Genomic DNA, 21,964 nt, shown 5'->3' with positions numbered 1-21,964 from the left:
CGATGTGCACCTCAGCCCAGAACTGCCTGCTCTTGACCCCGGAAGGGGGACCCTGGCCACGGCACCCAGGGGCAGCACTGCATGGTAGCTGAGAACAACACAGGGCGTGCCCATGGGGCAGGGGGCAGCAGGGGCTGAAGGAGCAAAGAACAACCATGTGGGAGGACAGGTACCTGCGGGGCTGGGTGCACAGCAAGAGCTTGGCCTCTGAGGACCAGTGGGACCGGGTCCCAGTGAAGGGACAGAGGACAATTCTGGAAGCAGTGAGTGTGGCTCAGGGCTGAGGCAGTGCCGGGAGTCCCACTGGCTTCCTTTATCTGGCAAATCTTCCCAGCTATGGAACTGAGCTGAGCACTTGGGGTGGGTCCTGGCCCTGCACCAGCTCCCATGGAGCTGAGGTCCGCAGCCCGTCGAGGCCAACCCTCCAGCTCCCATCATCAAGGTGTGGCTGAATTTGTAGGCATGACGCAGTAGCTGAGAGGCAAGAGGCCCACCTGAGTAGCGAGGGATGCTCTCTCGGCCATGCACACGCCCCTTTGTGAATGAAGTTACCACGCAGGTTGACCCAAAAAAGGGAGCTCAGGTTTTCGTTGTGGATGTCGGGATATCAGAAAAGCTGGGCCCAAGTCTCTCCAGGAACATGGAGAACTGTGGCTTCCTCAGTATCTGACCGAGTGACTTCACCCCCAAAGCGCCCAAAACACACCAGCGTTGACCCAGAAAGTGGTCTCCACCAAGGGCCAACGGGGCTGCCCCCTCCAGCATTTTTTCTTGAGCAAATTGAGCTGCACATCCAGGAACGGGGGGCACAGCTGAGTTACACAGAATTGGAGCCCAGTAAGAGGCCCTGATGAAACCGAGTCAGTTTCATCAGCTGCTTGAAATGACCCAGCAGGGGACACAGGCTGTGAGGCGCAGGCACTGCCTGGGGCTATTCCAACAGGAGGGTGGCCAGGCTGAGGCCTGATGCCTCTGCTCCAGCCCTGCCCTGGAGCCCCGAGGGTGGACACAGGGCGTGGCCTCGTCCCAGGAGGGGCAGTGCCTGAGAAGAGGCCCTGGCACTGGCCTGTCAAGGGTGCCCTTAGATGCCTCGCTGGCTCCTTGGAGGGGTTCGTGTGTCACCCATGGTGGGTCTGAGGCCCTAAGAGACCTTTTGGATTCTGACATTTTGTGTTTCTGTTAAGAGCAACTCCACGCTTGCCCATCAGGGAAGGCTTTGAATTCTGCAAGGCCCCTTGCAAAACTTCCTGGCTTGGGTGTAGCTTCTCCTAGGAAAGGGGCTTACAGGGACTATACCACTGAAGAAATTGGGCTCAGGAAGTAAGTTGAAGTTTGGTATACTGTAGCAAAAATCACTGTTGTTGATGAGAGAATGAACTTGCTTTTGAGTGCTTTGTAAAACGCACACTGAGCTCACCTCCATCACACCACATTCACCCTGTGCAGCTTGACACAGACACTGAGCTGTCCCAGCTCCTACCCTAGTCTCAACTCTGCTGTTTTTGCTCACAGGAAGACACCAGTGAGGAACACAGGGCCAGGCCAGGCCACATCCACTGTTCGTAGGGAGGCCCTGGGCTGGAGCTGAGGTCTGTGGTTGTTTGGTGGTCTGTCGTGGGCCCAGCTCTGGCTTGGTGTGGGTAAGGGACAGAGACAAGAGACCAGAACTGGAATTGTGACCCTGAGTACCTGGCTCCCCAGGCTGCTGCAGAACCTGAGGCAGCTGAACCCTGGGCCAGGGGAAGTAAAGGGAGTGGGGCAGGCGGTGCTGTCCACCCAGCTGGGCGCACCCATCGAGGCACAGCGGGTCTGCTGGCCACAGCCTGGTCCAGCAGATGCCCGGACACTGACTGAGGCCCTGAGCCCCAATTACCTTCTCGCCTGTGACGGAGGCAGGCGGCCAATAGGGGCATTGCCTGTGTGGCCAGCAGCGCCTGACAGCTTCTCTGATCTCTCTGCCCAGAGCCAAGTGAGGCTCAAGAGGCGGCATTTGCTCAAAGCCCTGCTCCAAGGCCATCTCCAAGCTGTGTCTTCCCACAAGTTAAAACATTTTAAACAATGGCCTTGCAGGTTCTTCCAGCTAGAACATTCTCCTGTCAGGGCACCAACCCGGGGGTTAGACTCCCCAGGACCCTGTCCCACACTCAGACGCCCTGTGTGGATCCCCTCAGCCAGGCCTGGGCTCCTGCTGTTCCTACAACCCGCCCAGGTCCTGCCCACCCAGGGCATCCCTCAGCACGTGGCCTCCACCCACTTCTGCTTCCTTGCCTACCCAAGACACTGAAGGTGCCTCTCCATGTCGTATGGGCTCACACCAAGGACAGACGCATTCACAAACGACAGGTGGCTCTCACTGAGCCTTGATGCCTCTGCGGCAGGACTGTGACCACGGATGTCTCCATAAGCCTGGCCCAGGGCCCGGGGCTGGACATGGAGGGTCATCAGGCAGAGGCCAGCCAAGTTCATACCTTATGTGAGCTGTGTGTGTGGGAGGCAGTGCTCTGTGCCAGGGCATCACCATGGAAACTGTCAGGGATGTCTGCCCTGGCTGTGGGATTCCAGGCAGTGGGGCTGATCAGGCAGTGCCTCATATGCATGGGTGTGGGCTGTCACGTCCCCACTGTGACCCTGCGATTGTGTGTCCACTGTGGGCAGCTCAAGCTTCTGTGGCTGCACTCACACTATGAGTACACATTGCTTTTCATAACTTTCCTAAATGCTCCAGAAAAGGGCCTAAAGAGCTCTGTGAGTCTGGGGCACAGCCAGCCTCACACTTACTGTTTGGCAATACAAAAAGTTGCTGACGGGCGGATTCCCATCATAGGCTGGGCATGGTGGCTCACGCCTGTAATCCCAGCTGAGGCGGGCGGATCACAAGGTCAAGAGATTGAGACCATCCTGGCCAACATGGTGAAACCCCGTCTCTACTAAAAATACAAAAAATTAGCTGGGCATGGTTGCACGTGCCTGTAGTCCCAGCTACTGGGGAGGCTGAGGCAGGAGGATCACTTGAACCTGGGAAGTGGAGGTTGCAGTGAGCTGAGATTGTGCCACCGCACTCCGGCCTGGGCGACAGAGCGACTCCGTCTCAAAAAAAAAAAAAAAAAAAAAAAAAAGTTGCTGATGGGCGGGTTCCTGTCATTGAGACATTTTTATCAGGGTCCCCCGGGGCAGGCTACAGGGCTTCATAGACTTGGACAGAGCAAACAGCAGGTGTCAAGGCCCTGGGGCCTAGCAGGGCAAGGGGAACCCAGGGCATCTCAGGGGAGGGTGGCCAGGAAGCTGGGTGAGGCCAGACACAAGAAGAGACAAGTGAGAGGAGATTCTCTCCTAGGAGGCCAGGGCACCACTTTCCCCCAAGCTGCCCACCCCGTGTCAGACTTCCTCGTTTCAGTGTTAATAAGATGTCCCTGCAGGGTGCCTGTCTGCTCTGCAGAGGCCAGGTGGCTGCGCTTTGTGAATCTGGGGTCTCTCCTCTTGCCCGTTGGGATGTATGTGCAAGCCCCCCACGCCTCCACACTCCGTCGTGCCCCTGAAGCACTACATCTTTCCCGAGGCCTCCTGAGTTTCTTCATGGTTTCCCAGTGCCCGGCCAGCCCAGATCATGATGGGTGGGGCCTGGTAAAGCTCAGGTCATGGGAGGGGGCAGCCAGCGGCCAGCCCACCTGGAAAGACCCGTCTTGGATGGGGCTAGGGCAGCCATCTGGGGCCATGTCATTCCTGGGCCTGCACAGCATGGGGTGAGGCGAGGCACCTGGAGAATCACCCTCCTGCATCTGGGCACAGCAGCCACATCGGGGTGCTCCACGGTGATGTTGCTGTCAGCGTTGGTGAGTGCCAGGCCTGGGCACCAATGATGATGGCTCCAGGTACAGATGCTCTTGGCCCTCATCCTCTTTAACTTCCCAGATTAAACGGAGGGAGGCAGGCCTTATCCCAGTTCCCTATCCCCTGGCAGGCGGGCGCGTGGACACAGTCTGCCTGGCCGGAGCAGCACCCTTGTGGGCTGGCTGCCATAAGGCACACGAGAACACAGACGGGGAGAGGCAGGGAGGCTTAGGCCTCCCTGGCCGCTGCTTGGGGTGAAGAACTAAGCAGTCCTCTGCATTACCGAGCCTCCTAAGGACCTTGCACTGTTAATACATGCTTTATGGGACGATTCACACATGTTAAGAGCATAAATGTTCACTTGGAGCTCAGAAGATTCTCACATGTGTGCCCAGCTGTGTGACCACCTCCAACCAGGTAATGGACATCCCCACACTGACAGGCCTCTGCGTGCCCACCTTACAGAGTCCCCTGCAGTGACCACACAATTCATCAGTGCCTGGACTCAGACATAGCTTCACCTCCGCACACCCAGGCCCCCAGTCACAGTGAGCAGGGCAGACTGGCCCCTCAGCCCTCCGCCTCCAGGAGGCCCTGGTCTGACCCTCCCTCTCCATCTTCCCTATAGGTCATCCTGGTCTGACCCCCTGCTCTGCCTTTCACCCCTGCTGACCGCTGAGCATGGGGCACTTACCCCTGCTGCACCCGAACTGCCTTCGGTGGTCACCACAGGCTCCACAGGGCTGGTGCTCGTGATCTAGAAGGGACACAGAGGCCGAGTGAGAGGAGATTCCAGGGCCACGCAGCCACTGTGCAGCGGGGGGACAGTTCCTGAAGCCCCCAGCACCTCTGTGCATTGAGGGCAGGCTCGGGAGCAGGATTTCCCAGGCCTAGGATTTGCTGTGCCTCTGGGGAAGCTGCTCCCTCCCTGGGCCTGGCCTGAGCTGGAGGCCTCTCCTAGAAGGAGCATCTCCCAGTGAGGTGGGTGGCTGGTGGGTGATGCCTCCCTCTGGCCCGCCCTATTCAGGGGCTCTAATTTACACCAAGTCACCCAGTGAGTAAGGAGGGTCCCTTTGGGTTCTCTCTCATCCTCCAGGGTTCCTTGTGGAGTCTCTGCAGCTCCCCGACTTTCTCAGCACAGTGAGGCTCCGGGCTCAGCCTCTGAACAGAAAGGGCTTGGCCAGACTTAAGGACAGCCAGGCTCAGTGTCTCACATTCCCAGGTCACCTCCACTCAAGGCAGTCCCAGGACTCTTTCTTTCTGGATGGTGCAAAGTTCTTGCAAAGTAAATGCAGAAAGCAGAAAAAACCTAGCGGACTTGATACAAATATGAAGTGGATATGGGGGAGGTGGGCTGTGCCAGGCAGACCCCTGGAGGTGGTAGGGAGGGCAGAACCAGCCTGGAGTTGGGATTCAGGCCTGCGGGGTCTGGGTCAGGCGGCGAGAGTTGGGGCACCCTCACTCTGAGTCATGCCTGGTGCCCCCGTGAAGGCTGGAGCAGAGGGCCTGGCATAGGGTTCAGGGCACCGTCTCTCCTGGGTGCCTCCCTGGATATGTCCTTGCTACACTTCCAACCCCTATGCCTTGTCCAGGGCCAGTGACTCCAGGGCCTTCCTCGCAGCGGGCAGAGATCGGCCTCCTCACCCAATCCTCTCTCCCTGACTCCAGGGAAGCCCCGGGAGGAGAAATGGCCGGGGATTGGCCCTGGGGCTGCAGCCCTGACTCCCTGGCCAGGCTTCTCGGCAAGGACCCTGCAGCCCCGCCTCTTTCCCAGCCTAAGTCTCCATGTGAAATCCCCCTGGGCCCTTGGGGCAGCTCCACGTGAGGATGGGGAGTGAGATGCTCCTATTGCTTCCCTCAAGGGGCTCTGAGCCACCATCTCCCAGGGCACGGGGGCACTGGGAGGGAAATACAAACACAGAAAGGTGTCTGCAGTCATAGGCTGTGCTAGACCAGACAGAGTGGTACGCGGGCAGCGCACCACAGCCCTGTGATGCCAGTTCCACCACCCATGGCCTGGGGACGTCACAGAGCTCCTCAGACTCAGTTTCTGTGGGGATGATGTAACATACCTTTGTGTGTAGGATGCTGTGCAGAAGGCACCAGACAACCAAACAGGTCATGAAGGAGCGCTTCCTCCACGCCCACATCCTGCTTTCCCGCCCAGCTGGGCGCTGACCACGGGCCTGGGGCCCAGCAGGCTGCAGCGGCACTTAGTGGAGGGTGGGTAGGGGTGAAATTAAGTTCAGCCTAAAGCTGCCATGGAAAGGTGGCCGACTGTTCAAACCATGTTCAAATAAGGCAAACGCGGAACTGTAACCAACCCAGCTGTTTCTGTGCCTCACTTTCCTTTTTCTGTCCATAAATCCTCTCCAACCACACAGCAGCACAGGAGGCTCTCTGGACCTATTCTGGTCTCAGGGGTTGTAGGGGGTGGGTGTTATCCCATCCACAAATAGTTGTTTGCTCAATTAAATTGTTAAATTTAATTTGTCTTAAGTTTTTATTTTAACACAAGGGAGTGCCCGCTGTCCTGGTCCCTGGTGTAGCAGGAGGAAAGCCTGGAGGTCAAGCTGCCCACCCAGACGCCAGTGCCTTCTGCTCTCCACAGGTAGCCCGTCCCCTGGAGGTCTCTCTGCACCCCGGGCCACTGACTCACAGGCATGTCTGGAGAGAGGCTGGGGTCCTCATCCTGGCTGAAGGCGCCACCAAAAGCCTTGAAGGTTTCGCTGTTCTGTTTGTGCTTCTCGATGGTGGCCTGGATGATCTGGACACAGCAACACAACAGTGAGGACTATAAAGGGGCATGGGAGGATGCTACCCACAGGAGGGACGCGCCTGCCTCTGTCCCGAGGACGGGCCTTGGCGTTCCCAGAACAATGCCCAGGCCACTGGCCATCTCCCTTCCCCCCTACCAATGATGTGGTCTCCCCTTGGAGCTGTCCAGATTGAGGAGATCCACCCTGAGCGGGGAACCTGGCCTGTGACTCCACCAGGCCCGCTCATGTTTATTTGGGGGCCCTCAAAGAAATGAATGGGTTGAAGGGCTTGTGGCATCTGAAGCTGCTTATGAAGGCACAGTGTGGTCACTGCATCCCTGCAGGGTACAGCACAGGGCCAGCAGTCCCGGAGGCCAGGGCCCCCACCCTCTGAACCAACATGAATGGCCTTACTGCTCAATCACTTGGTCATTTGGTTACTTTACAACTTTAGAAGCTTCACCTGAATCCATTCTTTCTTCTCTTCCTCTGTCCTAAAAAACCAAAACGGTCTTGTATTAATCCAGTCTTGGATACTGACTCTAAATGACCAGCCCTCTCTCAACCCTGCAGCACACCCGAGCCACGCACTGGCTTGTCAACGCAGCTCAAGGATTGGAAGATTGGCCCCAAGGGCCTCAAAACACTCGTGGCCTGGTGGGGCCAGGTGAGCCATGTGGAGCCCTCTGCAGTGGCTGTAATTCAATGCCTCCTTGGACCATAATGGGTCATTATGAAGATCCCACTGTTGGTGGGGTGTGGGAGAACAGAACTCCCATGTATGGCTAGTCAGAGCACAGCCTGACATCACCTTAAAGGGTAGTGTGACAACAGCCACCAACATTTCAAACAGATGCACTACCCTGTGACCAGCAAATCTATGTCAGCAATCTGACGGCTACAATTACACATATGCAGAAACACCTAAAAACAAGGACACTGCTTGCAGCCGCATTTGTGATGGCCAGGTTCGGGAGGAGCGCAGGTCCTCGTCAGTGGGAACTAGCTAATGATCATAATGGAAAATTGTGTTGCTTTAGGAATGGTGTGCAGATATGGGATGATTCTTGACAAATTAAGTGAAAAAGCAAGGTGCAGGACAGGTTATACAGTAAACAGCCATCTGTGATTTAAAACATAGATATATGTGCATGTGCATAGAAAATCCTAGAAGGGGCTGGGCACGGTGGCTCACACCTGTAATCCCAGCACTTTGGGAGGCCGAGGGGGTGTGGATCACCTGAGGTCAAGAGTTCGAGACCAGCCTGGGCAACATGGTGAAACCCCGTTGGGTTTTCACTCAAACAAAAAATTAGCCTGGCGTGGTGGCGGGTGCCTGTAATCCCAACTACCCAGGAGGCTGAGGCAGGAGAATCACTTGAACCTGGGAGGTGGAGGTTGCAGTGAGCCGAGATTGTGCCACTGCACTCCAGCCTGGGAGCGAAACTCCGTCTCAAAAAAAAGAAAAGAAAATCGTAGGATACTCAAGAGAGGACTAAGAACGTGCTGGGCCTGCTGAACAGGAGGTGGGCAGAGGCTTAATTTTCATCAACTTCCCTTGGTACTAAAACCGCCCCGAGTCCCATAGATAGTTTATCTGATAAACATACAAATTGACCCTTCTGGTCTTAAAGCTTGAAAGTTAACATTTGTTTTATCTGAGTTCCTTCCTCAGAAAACACCTTCAGGCCTCTCAAAAAAACCATCAAGGGACTGAAACTCACCAGGTCACCACATCCAGACAATGAGATGCCCAGACCCTTTATTCATCATGATTGCTTCCTTGCCCCTCCCTAGTTCCTGTTTTCTTACACATTGTTACATTTATTCCCTGCTGTGTATGCCCCTAGTTTTAGTTGGTCAGGGAGATGGATTTGAGACTGAGTTCCCATCTCCTCGGCCAATTAAAGCTTCTTCCTTGGCAATAATCATCTCAGTGATTGGCTTTCTGTGCAGCAAGCGCAGGACATAGACGGAACCCTGGTGCTTCAGTAACAGTACTTTTAAATTTTAAGCCATGCATAAATAAAAATATATTACAAGGTTAACCAGTTTAGAAAAAGAAGACATGAGGTCAAAGACATTCACTAGAAACAGCCCGTTCCATACCGCGTCTGCAGCTCCAGGGACCTTTTTCTTCCTGTTATGATGAATGTATGTGCTGTGTTTGGCTTGACGATATCCTGCACCTGAAGGGGCAAGAACAAAGAACAAAGCAAACCCAAGCTGGTCATTTTAGCTCCAGCCTCATGTTTTCTGACTTAGAAGTGTTTCCCCAAGGAGGTAACAGAGGTGAGCCTGCAGCCCCACAGTTCTGCAGGGAGAGGGGTGCAGAGGCTTAGGTCAGCGTGGCTGCTACATGAGCTGGTCCATCAGGGACAGCGGGCCTCCCATCCTGCTCAGACACAGCTATGACCGCTCATCTTCTGTGCTTGGAACTCTGCTGACCAAACCCACCCCCCCGACACCCAGCCCGTCAGGCATCCTCCCCATGTCGCCCCATCCATCCTCCTTAAAGCCAAGCCATTCCCCACAGGCACCACTGGGCACTGCCCGCCACAGCAGCCACGTCCCCTTAGGATGGAAAGGGATCTGATGAGAAGAGCAAGGATGGCCTTAGCCACCCTGCAGAGTCTGAGCCCCTGAGCAGGTGCGCCCTGAGATTAGACATGTAAATAGGACAATGTGTGCCCAGAACTAATGAAAATGGGGTCACTTCTTCATAGAACCGCAGCCACAGATTCCATCCTCTTCCATCAGGATAAGACCACAGAGACCATGGCCGGGCGCAGTAGCTCACGCCTGTTCCATGTCTCATTGCAGTGGGGTAGTTGGGGGACTGGAATGGGTCCCTGTCCCCTGTCGGGAGGGCTTTGAATTAATGGGTGCTCCAAAAATATTTGCTAAATCAAAATATGTAATCATTTGCTTAATGCCACCAAAAATCCCTTCTTACCTTGAAATTCTCTGAATTCAGGTTAAGAAAAAAAACACTAACTAGAGAAAATACCTTTTTTTAAGGTTGTTTCATTATTATTTTTAAAATTATTTTTGAGACAGGGTCTTGTCCTGTCAGCCAAGCTGGAGCACTGTGAGTGGCACAATCATAGCTCACTGCAGCCTTGACCTCCTGGGCTCAAGCAATTCTCCCACCTCAGCCTCCCAAGTAGCTGGGAATAGAGATGTGCGCCACCATGCCTGGCTAATTTTTTATTTTTTATAGAGACACGGTTTCACTACATTGCCCAGGCTGGTCCCGAACTCCTGGGTTCAAGTGATCCTCCTACCTCAGCCTCCCAAAGTACTAGGATTGTAGGCGTGAGCCAGCGAAACTACGTGCCCAGCTTTTTATAGTAGTTAGAAGAAACCACTTTTCTAGTGTTTCTCTACAAAAAATCGGTCATGGCTGGGCACGGTGGCTGATGCCTGTAATCCCAGCACTTTGGGAGGCCGAGGCAGGTGGATCACGAGGTCAGGAGTTTGAGACCAGCCTGACCACATGGTGAAACCCCGTCTCTACTAAAAATACAAAAATTAGCTGGGCGTGGTGGCGCGCACCTGTAATCACAGCTATTCTGGAGGGTGAAGCAGGAGAATCCCTTGAACCTAGGAGGTGGAGGTCGCAGTGAGCCGAGATCACACCATTGCACTCCAGGTTAAGAAATACCATTAAAAATAATGACTGACTAGGCTGGGTGCGGTGGCTCATGCCTGTAATCCCAGCACTTTGGGAGGCCAAGGCGGGTGGATCACGAAGTCAGGAGTTCGAGACCAGCCTGGCAAACATGGCAAAACCCCTTCTCTACTAAAAATACAAAAATTAGCTGGGTGTGGTGGCACACACCTGTAATCGCAGCTACACAGGAGGGTGAGGCAGGAGAATCCCTTGAACCCAGGAGGTGGAGGTTGCAGTGAGCCACGATCATGCCATTGCACTCCAGCCTGGGTGACAGCGAGACTCCGTCTCAAAAAAAAAAAAAAAAAAAAAAGAAGGTCATTCTGGACCATGCTACAGATCTGCCTGGAACCCTCCCCCCGGCTCCGGTGCAGGAGGACAGGAAAGAGCTCAGGACCCAGGAACCAGACAAGGGAAGCCGGCCCCCGCCCCAGCCAGGATTGCTCCCTGCAACCCTGGGCTTCATGTTTGGGTTTGTAAATAGGGCCCCGAGTCCCAGTCTCACAGGTGACAGGATTCAGTCCAGGTCCTGGTGCCATCCCTACTGCCCCCTGCATCCTCCAAGGCTCTGCAGAAAGGGGAGTTGGCAGCAACGTGGCAGGTGGGCCAAGCAGAGAAGGGTGGAATCCTGCCCTTCCAGCCTGGGGCACCAGGACTGAGACAATGCCTTGGTCACAGATAGGGTCTATGGCTTGGAAAAGCAGGTAGGGGTGCCAGGCTGCACAGAGGTGAGTGCCTCAGCGGCCAGAGCCTGGTGTCCCCAGTCCTGCTCAGTGCCCCTTCCAGGGGGACAGGTTTGAGATGGAGGAGCTCACCCACCTGGAGGCCTGAGATGTCCATCTTCTCCCGGACGCTGAACTTCTGGCCCATGAGCCGCAGCTTGGGCACACAGTAAAGGATCATGCTGTTGAACTGCAAGAGGGATGGCACAGGTGAGGAACGAGAGCTGCCCGCAGGTCCCCCCAGGGGCCCCAGTGAGCTTCTCACATGGGATCCTTTTCATTTTTTTTTAATGTTATAAAGTGAAAAATATTTTTAAAAGATATGTGCAGTAATTTTAACTATGGTTACATCTTTGAGTGAGGAGACTCTAGTCGCTAGCTTTATTTTTGTTCATTTCTATTTTTAAATTTTTAAACCATGAACATGAGCTAATTGTATAATTTAAAAAAAAACCTTTTTTTATTTTTTTGAGATGGAGTCTTGCTCTCGTTGCCCAGTCTGAAGTGCAATGGCGCAATCTTGGCTCACTGCAAACTCCGTCTCCCGTGTTTAAGAGCTTCTCCTGCCTCAGCCTCCCGAGTAGCTGGAATTACAGGCGGGTGCTACCACGCCCAGCTAATTTTTGCATTTTTAGTAGAGATGGGGTTTCGCCATGTTGGCCAGGCTGGTCTCAAAGTCCTGACCTCAGGTGATCCGCCCACCTCAGCCTCCCAAAGTGCTGGGATTACAGGTATGAGCCACCACGTCCAGCCAAACCAAATCTTTTGAATGAGCTACTGATACATTCACCAACATGGATGAATCTCTCAAACCCACATGGTGAGCTAAAGGAGCCAGACTCATCTCATGGCATTGATGTGACATTTGGGAAAGGCAAAATTCTAGAAACAGAGAAGAGATCCATGGTTGCCAGGGCAGGCGAGCGCTTGCTCACAAAGGGGTGGGACAAGGGAACTGGGGGGGTGGGCGGGGGCAGTGATCAAATTGTAACTTGGCCAGGTGAGGTGGCTCACGCCTGTAATCCCAGCACTTTGGGTGGGTGGATCACCTGAGGTCAGGAGCTCGAGACCAGACTGATAAACATGGTGAAACCCCATCTCTACTAAAAATACAAAAATTAGCCGGGCGTGGTGGCGCACGCCTGTAATCCCAGCTACTCAGGAGGCTGAGGCAGGACAATTGCTTGAACCTGGGAGGTGGAGGTTACAGTGAGCCGAGATTGAGCCACTGTACTCCAGCCTGGGTGACAGAGCGAGACTCTGTCTTAAAAACAAAAACAAAAACAAACAAAAAAAACTTGTTCTGTAACTTGATTGTGGTCACAACTGTATTAGTCAAAACTCAGAACTGTAAAGCAAAAATGAGTTTTAGTTAACGTAATTTTTAAAAACTTAAAAAAAAACCTTTCAAAGAAATAATTGTTTATTCAAGGAGAATCAGAAGCTAGAGGAAAATGGAGGAGGAAAGAAGAACCACATCTGTTTCTACCGCGCCATGGCACCCGGGGGGGTCTCGAATTACACTTCCATCCCACCTTCCCCCTCCCTCCCGGCCAGGGTTTGGCTCAGGAATAGTTGAAACTGTGATTCACTGCTACAGTTCTCTGTGCTGTCCTGGTTGCTACAAGCTGAAGTCTGCTCAGTTCTGGGGACGAAAGAGGTATGGGCTACGAGGGATTAAAAAATGAGATATTTGCAGCAAATGGGGAAGAGCCACTGGCAAAAGTTTGGTGTCTGGATGTGGAGGAGGGAGGCTCCCTATGGCTGGGGGAGGGATGCTGAGGGTCTCAGAGGGAGCCACAGTCCCAGTAGGAGAGGCCACAGAAGAGCCATGTCCTTGGGCAGCCAGAGCCCTCCTGGCACTGCCCTGGGCTTGAGGCAAATGGCAAGGGAGGCTCTGCGGCTGGGCTGGCAGGGGCCAGGCTCACCAGGAAGAGGTGGCGGTCCTGGGGGGTGCCGTTCTTGGCTGACAGTTTCTGGATTTGGCCCTCCTTGATCAGTTCATTGGCCGGGTTGACAATGTCTTCTTCCCCACCCAGCTGCTCGTACACCTCCAAGAGCTTGTGCATTTTCTCCTGCAAGAGACATGGGACTCAGGCACCAAAGGTCTGTGAGAGTGGCTGGTGACCTAGAGATGCACGGAGTCCTTCCCTGCAACCGTGGCCCAGAATCCAGAGAGGGCAATGAGCTACTGACAAGGGTGGGAGGGAAAACAGAGTGATGTTTGAGTTGGGTATTGAAGGATGAATAGGAGTTCACCATGCAGAGCATAAAAACAACGATAAACAGGAACAGAGCTAACCATTGCTGTGAGCCATGTGCTGTTCTACATGATACATGTTTTAACTCACCTAGTGAGGTGAGTGCCATTGTTATCTTCATTTTACAGACAAGGAAACTGAGGCACAGAGCGGTCAGTTGAGTATCTGAGACCCAGACTCGGACAATCCATATGTCACCTTCCCCTGACCATGGTGACTGGTGGGGTGGTCACATGGGTAACCAGCACCCAGAAGTGCGATGGGACAGCGTCAAAGCTCATGCTTCAGCTCTGAGCCAGACGCCAGTGTAGCAGAACGCAGAGGTGAGCCTGCGGCAACCTCGACAACAGCCACATGTCTGAGTCTGTACCTGCTGTGCCTTGGAAGCCCCGTCCTTGGACCTGAGTGATCTCAGCCTGTACATCCTGGAGGCGGCTGGGTTTGGCTGACCCTTCCGTCTCTGGCACCAATGCAGGTAGGTGCAAGTGGGCACAGGGTGTGGGGGGCACCAGAGGAGCCAGCAGCAGAGAGCTTAGAGGAGCAGACTAGGGTAGGGGTGAGGGTCTTTTGAGAACTGGGGGAATGGGCAGGTACCTGGTATATACACAGGGGAGCTGGGTGTGCACCTGCCCACTACTGGGGGCTGGGTGTGCAGTTGGTGTGTACCAGGGGGGCTGGGTGTGAACCTGGTATGTACTGGGGAGCTGCGTGTGCAGCTGGTGTCTAATAGTGGAGAAATGCATGCACCTGGAATGTACTGGGAGGGCTGGGCAAGCACCTGGTGTGCACTAAGAGGGCTGGGTGTGCACCTGTCATGTCCCAGGGGGCTGGGTGAGCACAGAGCCAGTCCATGAAGGGACTAATGCAGCTTTAGTGAGTGAATGAATGACAATAACACTGAGCATTGACACTTCCTGCACCAGGCAGGTCCTGTTCTGAGCATTCTATGTAGATTGATTCTTCCCCCCCCCACACCCCGCCACCGCCCACACCTGGTGGCTCACAGGTGTGAGCCACCACACCTGGCTAATTTTTGTATTTTTAGTAGAGACAGGGTTTCACCATGTTGGCCATGCTGGTCTTGAACTCCTGACCTCAAGTAATTCGCCCACCTCGGCCTTCCAAAGTGCTGGGATTACAGCCATGAGCCACCACGCCTGGCCTTGCTGAGGCTTTTGAACACAAAGTTGCCATGGGCTCAGGCCATTTAGGGCTGAGTTCCATGGTAACACATGGCTGACACTTTCCGGGGCAGGCCGGGGACCACTTTGTGGGGCAGGACTTGGGGCTGACCCTGGACATGTTGCAGCTCTCACTCTCCTTAGTGTTTTAGGAGTCATGAAACAGCTGTTCTCTGAGAGGTGTGTGAGTTTTGGGTGAAAAGACTTGGATTTGTATAATTAAATGAAACTGCCTAGGGAAAGTACCTGGAACATAATGGATACTTAGAAAACAAAGGAAATTCCTTTTTTTCCCCCTGGTTTTTGTTATACATTTTTTTTTTTTTTTTTTGAGACAGAGTCTTGCTCTGTTGCCCAGGCTGGAGTGCAGTGGCGCGATCTCGGCTCACTGCAAGCTCCGCCTCCCAGGTTCATGCCATTCTCCTGCCTCAGCCTCCTGAGTAGCTGGGACTACAGTCGCCTGCCACCATGCCCAATTTTTTGTATTTTTAGTAGAGATGGGGTTTCACCATATTAGCCAGGATGGTCTCCATCTCCTGACCTCATGATCCACCCGCCTCGGCCTCCCAAATTGCTGGGATTACAGGCGTGAGCCACCGCGCCTGGCCTAGAGTGATTCTTTTTTTTTTGAGACGGAGTCTCACTCTGTTGCACAGGCTGGAGTGCAGTGGCACGATCTCGGCTCACTGCAACCTCTGCCTCCTAGGTTCAAGCGATTCTTCTGCCTCAGCCTCCCAAGTAACTGGGACTACAGGCATACACCACTACGCCCAGCTAATTTTTGTATTTTTAGTAGAGACGGGGTTTCACCATATTGGCCAGGCTGGTCTCCAACTCCTGACCTCATGATCCGCCCGCCTCGGCCTCCCAAAGTGCTGGGATTATAGGAATGAGCAACCGCGCCCGGCCCATAGAGTGATTCTTTTACTCTCCACAGATGCCCAGTGAGACAGGCTCTGTCGGGGCTCCCATTTTATAGATGGGGAAACTAAGGCATAGAGTGCTAAATAACTCACCAAGGACACAGGTCTATTATAGCAAGGGGCGGGGCTGTCCAGCTGACCCCCCTGGGGATGGGGGTGGAAGGAGGTATAAAAGAGTCACTTGTGGAGCCCCCCAAAGGATAGCGGCAAAGGGGCTGGCCCACAAGGGCCCCTGGCCCTCACTCTTGCTGCACCACCCTGCCGGTCGCCACTGGAGCCCCACACTCACCACTTTCCGAATGGCAGCATTGGAGTGGTTGGCGGCTGTGGAGATGAGCTCCAAGGACCCTGCAGGAAGAAGACTGTGTTCAGCCTGGGGCCACGGTGGCTCCGTTTTTGCTTGCCTGAGGGGCTCCAGGGCAGCTGCCTCCAGAGAGAGGATCTGTCTCTGCCCTCAGCCTTTCCCAGGGTGCCTGGGCTACTCTAGAGGACTGGCCCAGAGGAAGGGGGTGACCCTGCCTCTGACCCTGCAGACACATCCCTTCTGGGGCCAATACCAGGCAGGGGGCTCCCACGATTCTGCACAGACGCCTGTCCGGGCTGCCTGCCAGCCACACCAGTTGCTGCCCTTGGACCAGGAGCAGCCCCCACCAGCCCTATGAGGCCCATTCCTGGGGCCTAAGCTCTGAACAGGGCCAGCATTTAGTAGCACCTTCCCCAGACCAATGTCCACCCGCATACTTCAAGCAGGGGAGATTTTTCTCTGCCCTCAAAGATGCTAAGTCCCTTCCTGGGCTGCTAGGGGGCTCACTTGTTCTCTCTCTTTCTCTCTCTCTCCCCCTCCTTCCTCTGTCTCTGTGTGTCTCTCTCTCCTCCCCTCTGTCTGTTTCTCCATCCCTCTCTCTCCCCCTCCTTCCTCTGTCTCTGTGTGTCTCTCTCTCCTCCCCTCTGTTTCTCCCTCCCTCTCCCTCTCTTTCCCTGACATCTCCCTATCTCTCTCCCTGTCTCCATCTCTCTCCCTCCCCTGCCTCTGTCTCTGTCTCTTTCCCTCTGGTCTCTCTGTTTCTCTCTCCCCTACCCCCATGACCCCACGACTCTCTCTCTCCCTCTCTCCCCACCCCCAGAGTTCTTGGCAGGTGCCCCTGCACCCTCCTGGGAGCCCTTGGCCCCAGCTCACTCTCCGCATCCTTCCGGTCTGGGGCGTCCTGCGGGAGCCTCTTCAGATAGTCCTTGAGCAGCAGCTCGTACCGGGGGACCCTCTGCACGGGCTCCAGCATGTGGTGCTGCAGCGTCAGGTTCCCGCATACCTCCTGCTTCTGTGGGGACAGAGGGAGCATTGGGCACTCCAAGGACACGTGTGTGGATGCCAGCCCCACCGGCTTCTGGCCACCACAGCCCCAGGAAGCTGCCCGGAACTGGCTGCCCAGAACTGACTGTCCTTCAAGACATGGCTGACACAGACCACACTTTACAACGAGGGAAACTGAGGCTCAGAGAGACTGACCAATGGAGCAAGAACTGGAACCCCAGGCAGGCTGGCCCTTGGCCCAGAGCTGGCTCTCTTATACGCATCCTCGGTGGAGAAAATAAATGCCTGGACAGGACTGTCTCCTCCTGTCAAGAGTGGCTTTTCCCCACTCTCACCCACCCGTGGGCCTAAGCAGGGCTCCTTCGACCCCTCTGCTGAGAAATCAGGCAGAGCTTCGCCCAACCATCCCCACTGGGTATCGGGCCAGGGCTTGTCCTTATGCCTAGAAGCAGCTCGGGGAGTCCTTCTGCAGATCGCTCTCGATATAAACGCACCAGTATTCCAATCAGGTGCTGAGACCCTCGCGCTCCACGTGTACCCAGCTCTGCTCACCGGCTCCCTGTGCCTCCCCTCGCACCCTGCAGCACCTCCTTGCTGCCATGTCTCCATCTGGCATCTGAACCCCAGACACGTGTGCTGAATGCTGCCCACCTGTCGCCTCTGTGCTCCCCAATCGGGTCCTCCTGCCCAGGCCACTTTGCCTCTGCCTCCCCTGATGATGCCCACTGGGCAGCCTGTGAGGGCCTGCTGACTTTGTCGTCCTGTCCACCAGCTTCCCCACCCACCTGCCAGCAACTCAAGGGCCTCAACCACCCTCACCTGGCTCAGGGCCCAGAACAGAACGGCTTCCAGCTCAGATGAGCTCAAAAATGCCTGGGATACAACAGGGTGAGAGAAACCCAAGTCGACAATCTTCATAAAAACAACTGTTTCTGTCAAGATATTCACATAATCTCCAAGTATCTCCCTACAAGAAACTTTTTTTTTTTTGAGACGGAGTCTCGCTCTGTTGCCTGGGCTGGAGTGCAATGGCGCGATCTCGGCTCACTGCAACCTCCGCCTCCCAGGTTCAAGCAATTCTCCTGCCTCAGCCTCCTAAGTAACTGGGATTACAGGTGCACACCACCACACCTGGCTAATTTTTGTATTTTTAGTAGAGATGGGGTTTCACTATATTGGTCAGGCTGGTCTCGAACTCCTGACCTTGTGATCTGCCTACCTCGGTCTCCCAAAGTGCTAGGATTACAAGCGTGAGCCATCGCGCCTGGCCAAAACTTTTTTTTTTTTTTTGATGGAGTCTTGCTCTGTTGCCCAGCCTGGAGTGTAGTGGAGTGATCTTGGCTCACTACAGCCTCCGCCTCCCCGGCTCAAGCAATTCTGTCTCAGCCTCCCAAGTAGCTGGGATTACAGGTATGAGTGTGCCACCACACCCAGCTAATTTTTGTATTTTTAGTAGAGATAGGGTTTCACTATGTTGCCCAGACTGGTCTCGCACTTCTGACCTCAGGTGATCCGCCCACCTGGGCCTCCCAAAGTGCTGGGATTAGAGGCGTGAGCTACCACAAGCGGCCAAGAAACTTAATAGGGGAAAAAACCCAACTTCACCTGAAGAGTCCTGACAGACACGCCCTTTATCAAGTGAATATCCCCAGGAATGGGATGCAGAGACTGCGTCACCGGGCAGGACGCAGGGAGAAGAGCACAGCCTCACTCCAGGAAAAGGCACAGCCTCAATCAAACTGTGGACAAACAGCAGAAAAACCCAAGCAGGCAGTCTACAAGTAACTAGGCTGCACCCCTCAAAAAGACAAGGACAGAGGCCTGTTCCAGACCCAAGAGGACAAATACAATAATGAGCGCAATGTGTGGCCCTGGGTTGGGTTATGGATCAGAAAACAAGAATGTTATTGGGACAATCGGTGACATCTGAGTGTGGGCTGCGGAGTAGATAGCACCAGGACATCAGTGTAAAATCCCCGATTTTGATCACTGTGCTGGGAGTACGCAAGAGAATATCCTTGTTCACATGTTTAGTGATAAAGGGTTACGGTGTCTGCAACTTAGTTTCAAAACGCTCAAAAGTCATCATCATCTGTATGAGTTTAGAGGGAATAATAAAGTAAGCCAGACAAAATGTTAATAATGCATAACAATGTCATTTTTGCAACTTTCCTGTAAAGGTTTAAAGTTATTTCAAAATAAAAGTTTAACGTTTAAAATATCCTTTGATTAAAGGAAGGAAACCTGCAAAAGGCCATGGGCAACTTGACTGTCATGCGATCCTGTTTTTTCCACACCAGGTCTTCTCAGCCTGGGCACTATGGACCTTCGGGTTGGAGAATTCTCTGCGGTGGGCCATGCTGTCTGCTGCAACGTGTTTTGCAGCATCCCCAGACCCCACCCACCAGATGCTGGGTGCACCCAATGTGTGAAGATATGGCCTGGGATCCCCGGGGGGCAAAGTCACCTTCAGGGAATGGCTGGATGGTACTGAGTCCAGGCGGAGAGCCCTCCCCACAGCCTGCCTGGCCCTGTGCCCAATCTGCCTAGGATGAGGGGATGCACAGACCAGTGGCTAGCCTGCAACCGGGGCTGTGTCTGCCTCGAGTGTCCCCAGGCAGATGTCATCCAGGACATGGCAGGCGCGATCTCAGCTCACTGCAACCTCTGCCTCTCGGTTCAAGCAATTCTCCTGAATCAGCCTTCAGAGTAACTGGGACTATAGGCATGTCACGCCCAGCTAATTTTTGTATTTTTAGTAGAGATGGGGTTATATAGTCTTGGGTAGTGGGAAATGCATTTGAAAATAAGCTTTACATTTTAAGAAGTGGTGAATGGAGTTACTTAAAAATAAAAAATTCTGGGCCAGGCGCGGTGGCTCACGCCTGTAATCCTAGCACTTTGGGAGGCCGAGGTGGGTGGATCACAAGGTCAGGAAATCGAGACATCCTGGCTAACATGGTGAAACCCCGTCTCTACTAAAAAATATAAAAAATTAGCCGGGCGTGGTGGCGGGCGCCTGTAGTCCCAGCTACTCAGGAGGCTGAGGCAGGAGAATGGCGTGAACCTGGGAGGCGGAGCTTACAGTGAACTGAGATCGCGCCACTGCACTCCAGCCTGGGCTACAGAGTGAGACTCTGTTTCAAAAAAAATTAAAAAATAAATGAATAAAAATAAAAAATAAAAAATTCTGTATGGCAAACACCACCATAAAGTTAAAAGATCAGGCGGGGCGCGGTGGCTCACGCCTGTAATCCCAGCACTTTGAGAGGCCAAGGAGGGCGGATCATGAGGTCAGGAGATCGAGACCATCCTGGCTAACACAGTGAAACCCCATCTCTCCTAAAAATACAAAAAAATTAGCTGGGCGTGGTGGTGGGCGCCTGTATTCCCAGCTACTCGGGAGGCTGAGGCAGGAGAATGGTGTAAACCCTGGAGGCAGAGGTTGCAGTGAGCCGAGATCGTGCCACTACACTCCAGCCTGGGCAACAGAGTGAGACTCTGTCTCAAAAAAAAAAATAAAATAAAAAAATAAAAGATCAATGGGGGAAAATAATCTGTGACATGCATGACAGAAAGAAGTTGATGTTCTTAGCATATAAAAGCCTTGTGAATCAAGAAGAAAGAGACCAGCCCTATAGGAGACAAGAGAAGCCAGGGCTGTGAGGAGGCTCTTAGCAGAAAGCGAAAAACAAAAAAGCAATGTAACATTTAAACAAAAATGCCTGCACTAGATATCGAGGGACACTGTGCAATCAGAGACTGTCCTTTGAATTCAGGTTCCATCAGATAATAGCTCGTGATGCTGTAGCTTGCACAGCCTCTTGAGCCACGATTTTCCGATGGGAATGCTGATTCATCTCTGGGAGTTATTGTAAGGCTCAAAGCATCAACAGAACATCTGGGCACATCCCATAATTTTCCTAATTTTCTCTATGTTCCAAAATTTTAGTAATGTCATGTTACTTTTTGGAGTAAAATATACATATATACATATGTTTTTAAAAAATAAAACACCAGGCTCTGTGCATCTTGAGAACATCTGTGTCCACACTCCCACTGCCGGCCTTACCTGGATGCTGTGGACGACGTCTTTAAACAGTGGGGAGCGCTGGGTCCACGTGCTCACCAGCCCTACGGCTCGGTCAAAGTTCTTGACATACTCGCCGTACATCTTCAGGAATGGGGCCAGCTTCTGCAGGATGTCCCCGAGCCGTGGGTTTGTGTCCCTTCGTGGAGAAATGAATCATCAGAGAAATAGCTGGGTGCAATGGGGACTCTGAGGTTAGTGGACATGAACTCCACCAGGGGGGTGTGGGGTGGAGGCCAGCTCTGTGTGATGGTGAGCAAATTGGTCACCCTCTCTGAGCCTTAGCTTCCTCCCCTATGTCATGTAGAGTAGAAAATAGTAACTGGGCAATTAAATGAAAGATGCCTGTAAAACAGTTAAAAGTCCAAGCTGCAAGCTTAGAACCAGTGACCCAGACACAGGAGATAGCAGTAGTAGCAGAATCGCTTGAATGATGAACCACAGTTATCAAAGAGAACCAACAAAATACCATTATGCTCCTTTTAAATGGGCAAAGATTAGAAACAATGGTTCTATCCAATGCTGGTGAAGTCCTGGGGAAAGTAGCTCTTTGTAGTACTGATAATGAAAAAAGCTGCTTTGGACAGAGATTTGCAAATAATTTTCAAGAAACAGAAAAATATACTAATCGTCTTTGACCTTAGGACTGTTTCAAAAAGAAAGAAAAAAGCCACAGGCACAAAGCCATCACTAAGGCATGACTGTGAACTGCACTTATACATTTAATTTAAAGGTCCAGGCTGGGTGTGGTGGCTCATGCCTGTAATCCAGCACTTGGGAGGCTGAGATGGGCAGATCACAAGGTCAGGAGATCGAGACCATCCTGGCCAACACGGTGAAACCCCGTCTCTACTTAAAAAAAAATACAAATAATTAGCCGGGTGTGGTGGCGGGCGCCTGCAGTCCCAGCTACTTGGGAGGCTGAGGCAGGGGAATGGTGTGAACCCAGGAGGCAGAGCTTGCAGTGAGCTGAGATCACGCCACTGCACTCCAGCCTGGGCAACAGAGTGAGACTCTGTTTAAAAAAAAAAAATGTCCAAAGGGCAGGGTGGCTAAGTCATTGGACCCCTGTGCTGTTATAAAAGTTGCAGAGGAGGTCACACATGCACTCATGAGTTAGCAGTCTCCAGGGCCTTGCAGGAGAAAACCTGTCTCTACCAAGCATGGATTTTTGTCAGCCAGAAGGCTGCATCCAGTCCTGACTGCCTCGGGGAC

The 21,964-nt window shown here is 53.3% G+C and overlaps 1 protein-coding gene and 1 long non-coding RNA gene across 6 annotated transcripts in view, besides 4 other annotated features; one reads left to right on the top strand and one right to left on the bottom strand.

Moving 5' to 3' along the window:
- Positions 1-21,964, bottom strand: part of FGD3 (FYVE, RhoGEF and PH domain containing 3) — an 88,711-nt gene that overhangs the window by 9,322 nt on the left and 57,425 nt on the right. For 4 of the 5 annotated variants that reach the window (NM_001083536.2, NM_001369951.1, NM_001286993.2 and 1 more), the window contains exons 6-14: positions 20,732-20,888; positions 16,528-16,666; positions 15,640-15,698; positions 12,914-13,060; positions 11,083-11,175; positions 8,697-8,776; positions 7,051-7,081; positions 6,488-6,595; positions 4,523-4,585 (exon numbers count right to left, since the gene is read on the bottom strand). In NM_001083536.2, coding sequence (NP_001077005.1) covers positions 4,523-4,585; positions 6,488-6,595; positions 7,051-7,081; positions 8,697-8,776; positions 11,083-11,175; positions 12,914-13,060; positions 15,640-15,698; positions 16,528-16,666; positions 20,732-20,888 — 877 coding nt within the window. The remainder of the gene's footprint in view (positions 1-4,522; positions 4,586-6,487; positions 6,596-7,050; positions 7,082-8,696; positions 8,777-11,082; positions 11,176-12,913; positions 13,061-15,639; positions 15,699-16,527; positions 16,667-20,731; positions 20,889-21,964) is intronic. The other variant, NM_001369952.1, reaches the window with a different exon arrangement.
- Positions 994-1,785: an enhancer, noted in NCBI's record as "H3K27ac-H3K4me1 hESC enhancer chr9:95787409-95788200 (GRCh37/hg19 assembly coordinates)". NCBI's record gives its function as "activates a minimal SCP1, AML or CMV promoter by ChIP-STARR-seq in naive H9 embryonic stem cells {active_cell/tissue: H9 hESC(naive)}" and the evidence as "EXISTENCE:reporter gene assay evidence [ECO:0000049][PMID:30033119]".
- Positions 1,786-2,578: an enhancer, noted in NCBI's record as "H3K4me1 hESC enhancer chr9:95786616-95787408 (GRCh37/hg19 assembly coordinates)". NCBI's record gives its function as "activates a minimal SCP1, AML or CMV promoter by ChIP-STARR-seq in naive H9 embryonic stem cells {active_cell/tissue: H9 hESC(naive)}" and the evidence as "EXISTENCE:reporter gene assay evidence [ECO:0000049][PMID:30033119]".
- Positions 4,142-5,042: an enhancer, noted in NCBI's record as "H3K4me1 hESC enhancer chr9:95784152-95785052 (GRCh37/hg19 assembly coordinates)". NCBI's record gives its function as "activates a minimal SCP1, AML or CMV promoter by ChIP-STARR-seq in primed H9 embryonic stem cells {active_cell/tissue: H9 hESC(primed)}" and the evidence as "EXISTENCE:reporter gene assay evidence [ECO:0000049][PMID:30033119]".
- Positions 11,340-11,576: a silencer, noted in NCBI's record as "fragment chr9:95777618-95777854 (GRCh37/hg19 assembly coordinates)". NCBI's record gives its function as "represses an EF-1alpha promoter that drives an FKBP-Casp9 reporter gene in an ReSE screen in K562 erythroleukemia cells {active_cell/tissue: K562}" and the evidence as "EXISTENCE:reporter gene assay evidence [ECO:0000049][PMID:32094911]".
- On the top strand, positions 11,968-18,797 carry LOC101927954 (uncharacterized). Its single transcript, NR_121565.1, has 3 exons — positions 11,968-11,985; positions 12,418-13,721; positions 16,475-18,797. It is a non-coding gene; the product is annotated as an uncharacterized LOC101927954 (long non-coding RNA).

Source organism: Homo sapiens, chromosome 9, assembly GCF_000001405.40.
Source record: "Homo sapiens chromosome 9, GRCh38.p14 Primary Assembly".
Classification (NCBI taxonomy): Eukaryota; Metazoa; Chordata; class Mammalia; order Primates; family Hominidae; genus Homo; species Homo sapiens.
The sequence above is the reverse complement of the archived record's forward strand: the minus strand, read 5'-3'. Positions and strand labels throughout refer to the sequence as shown.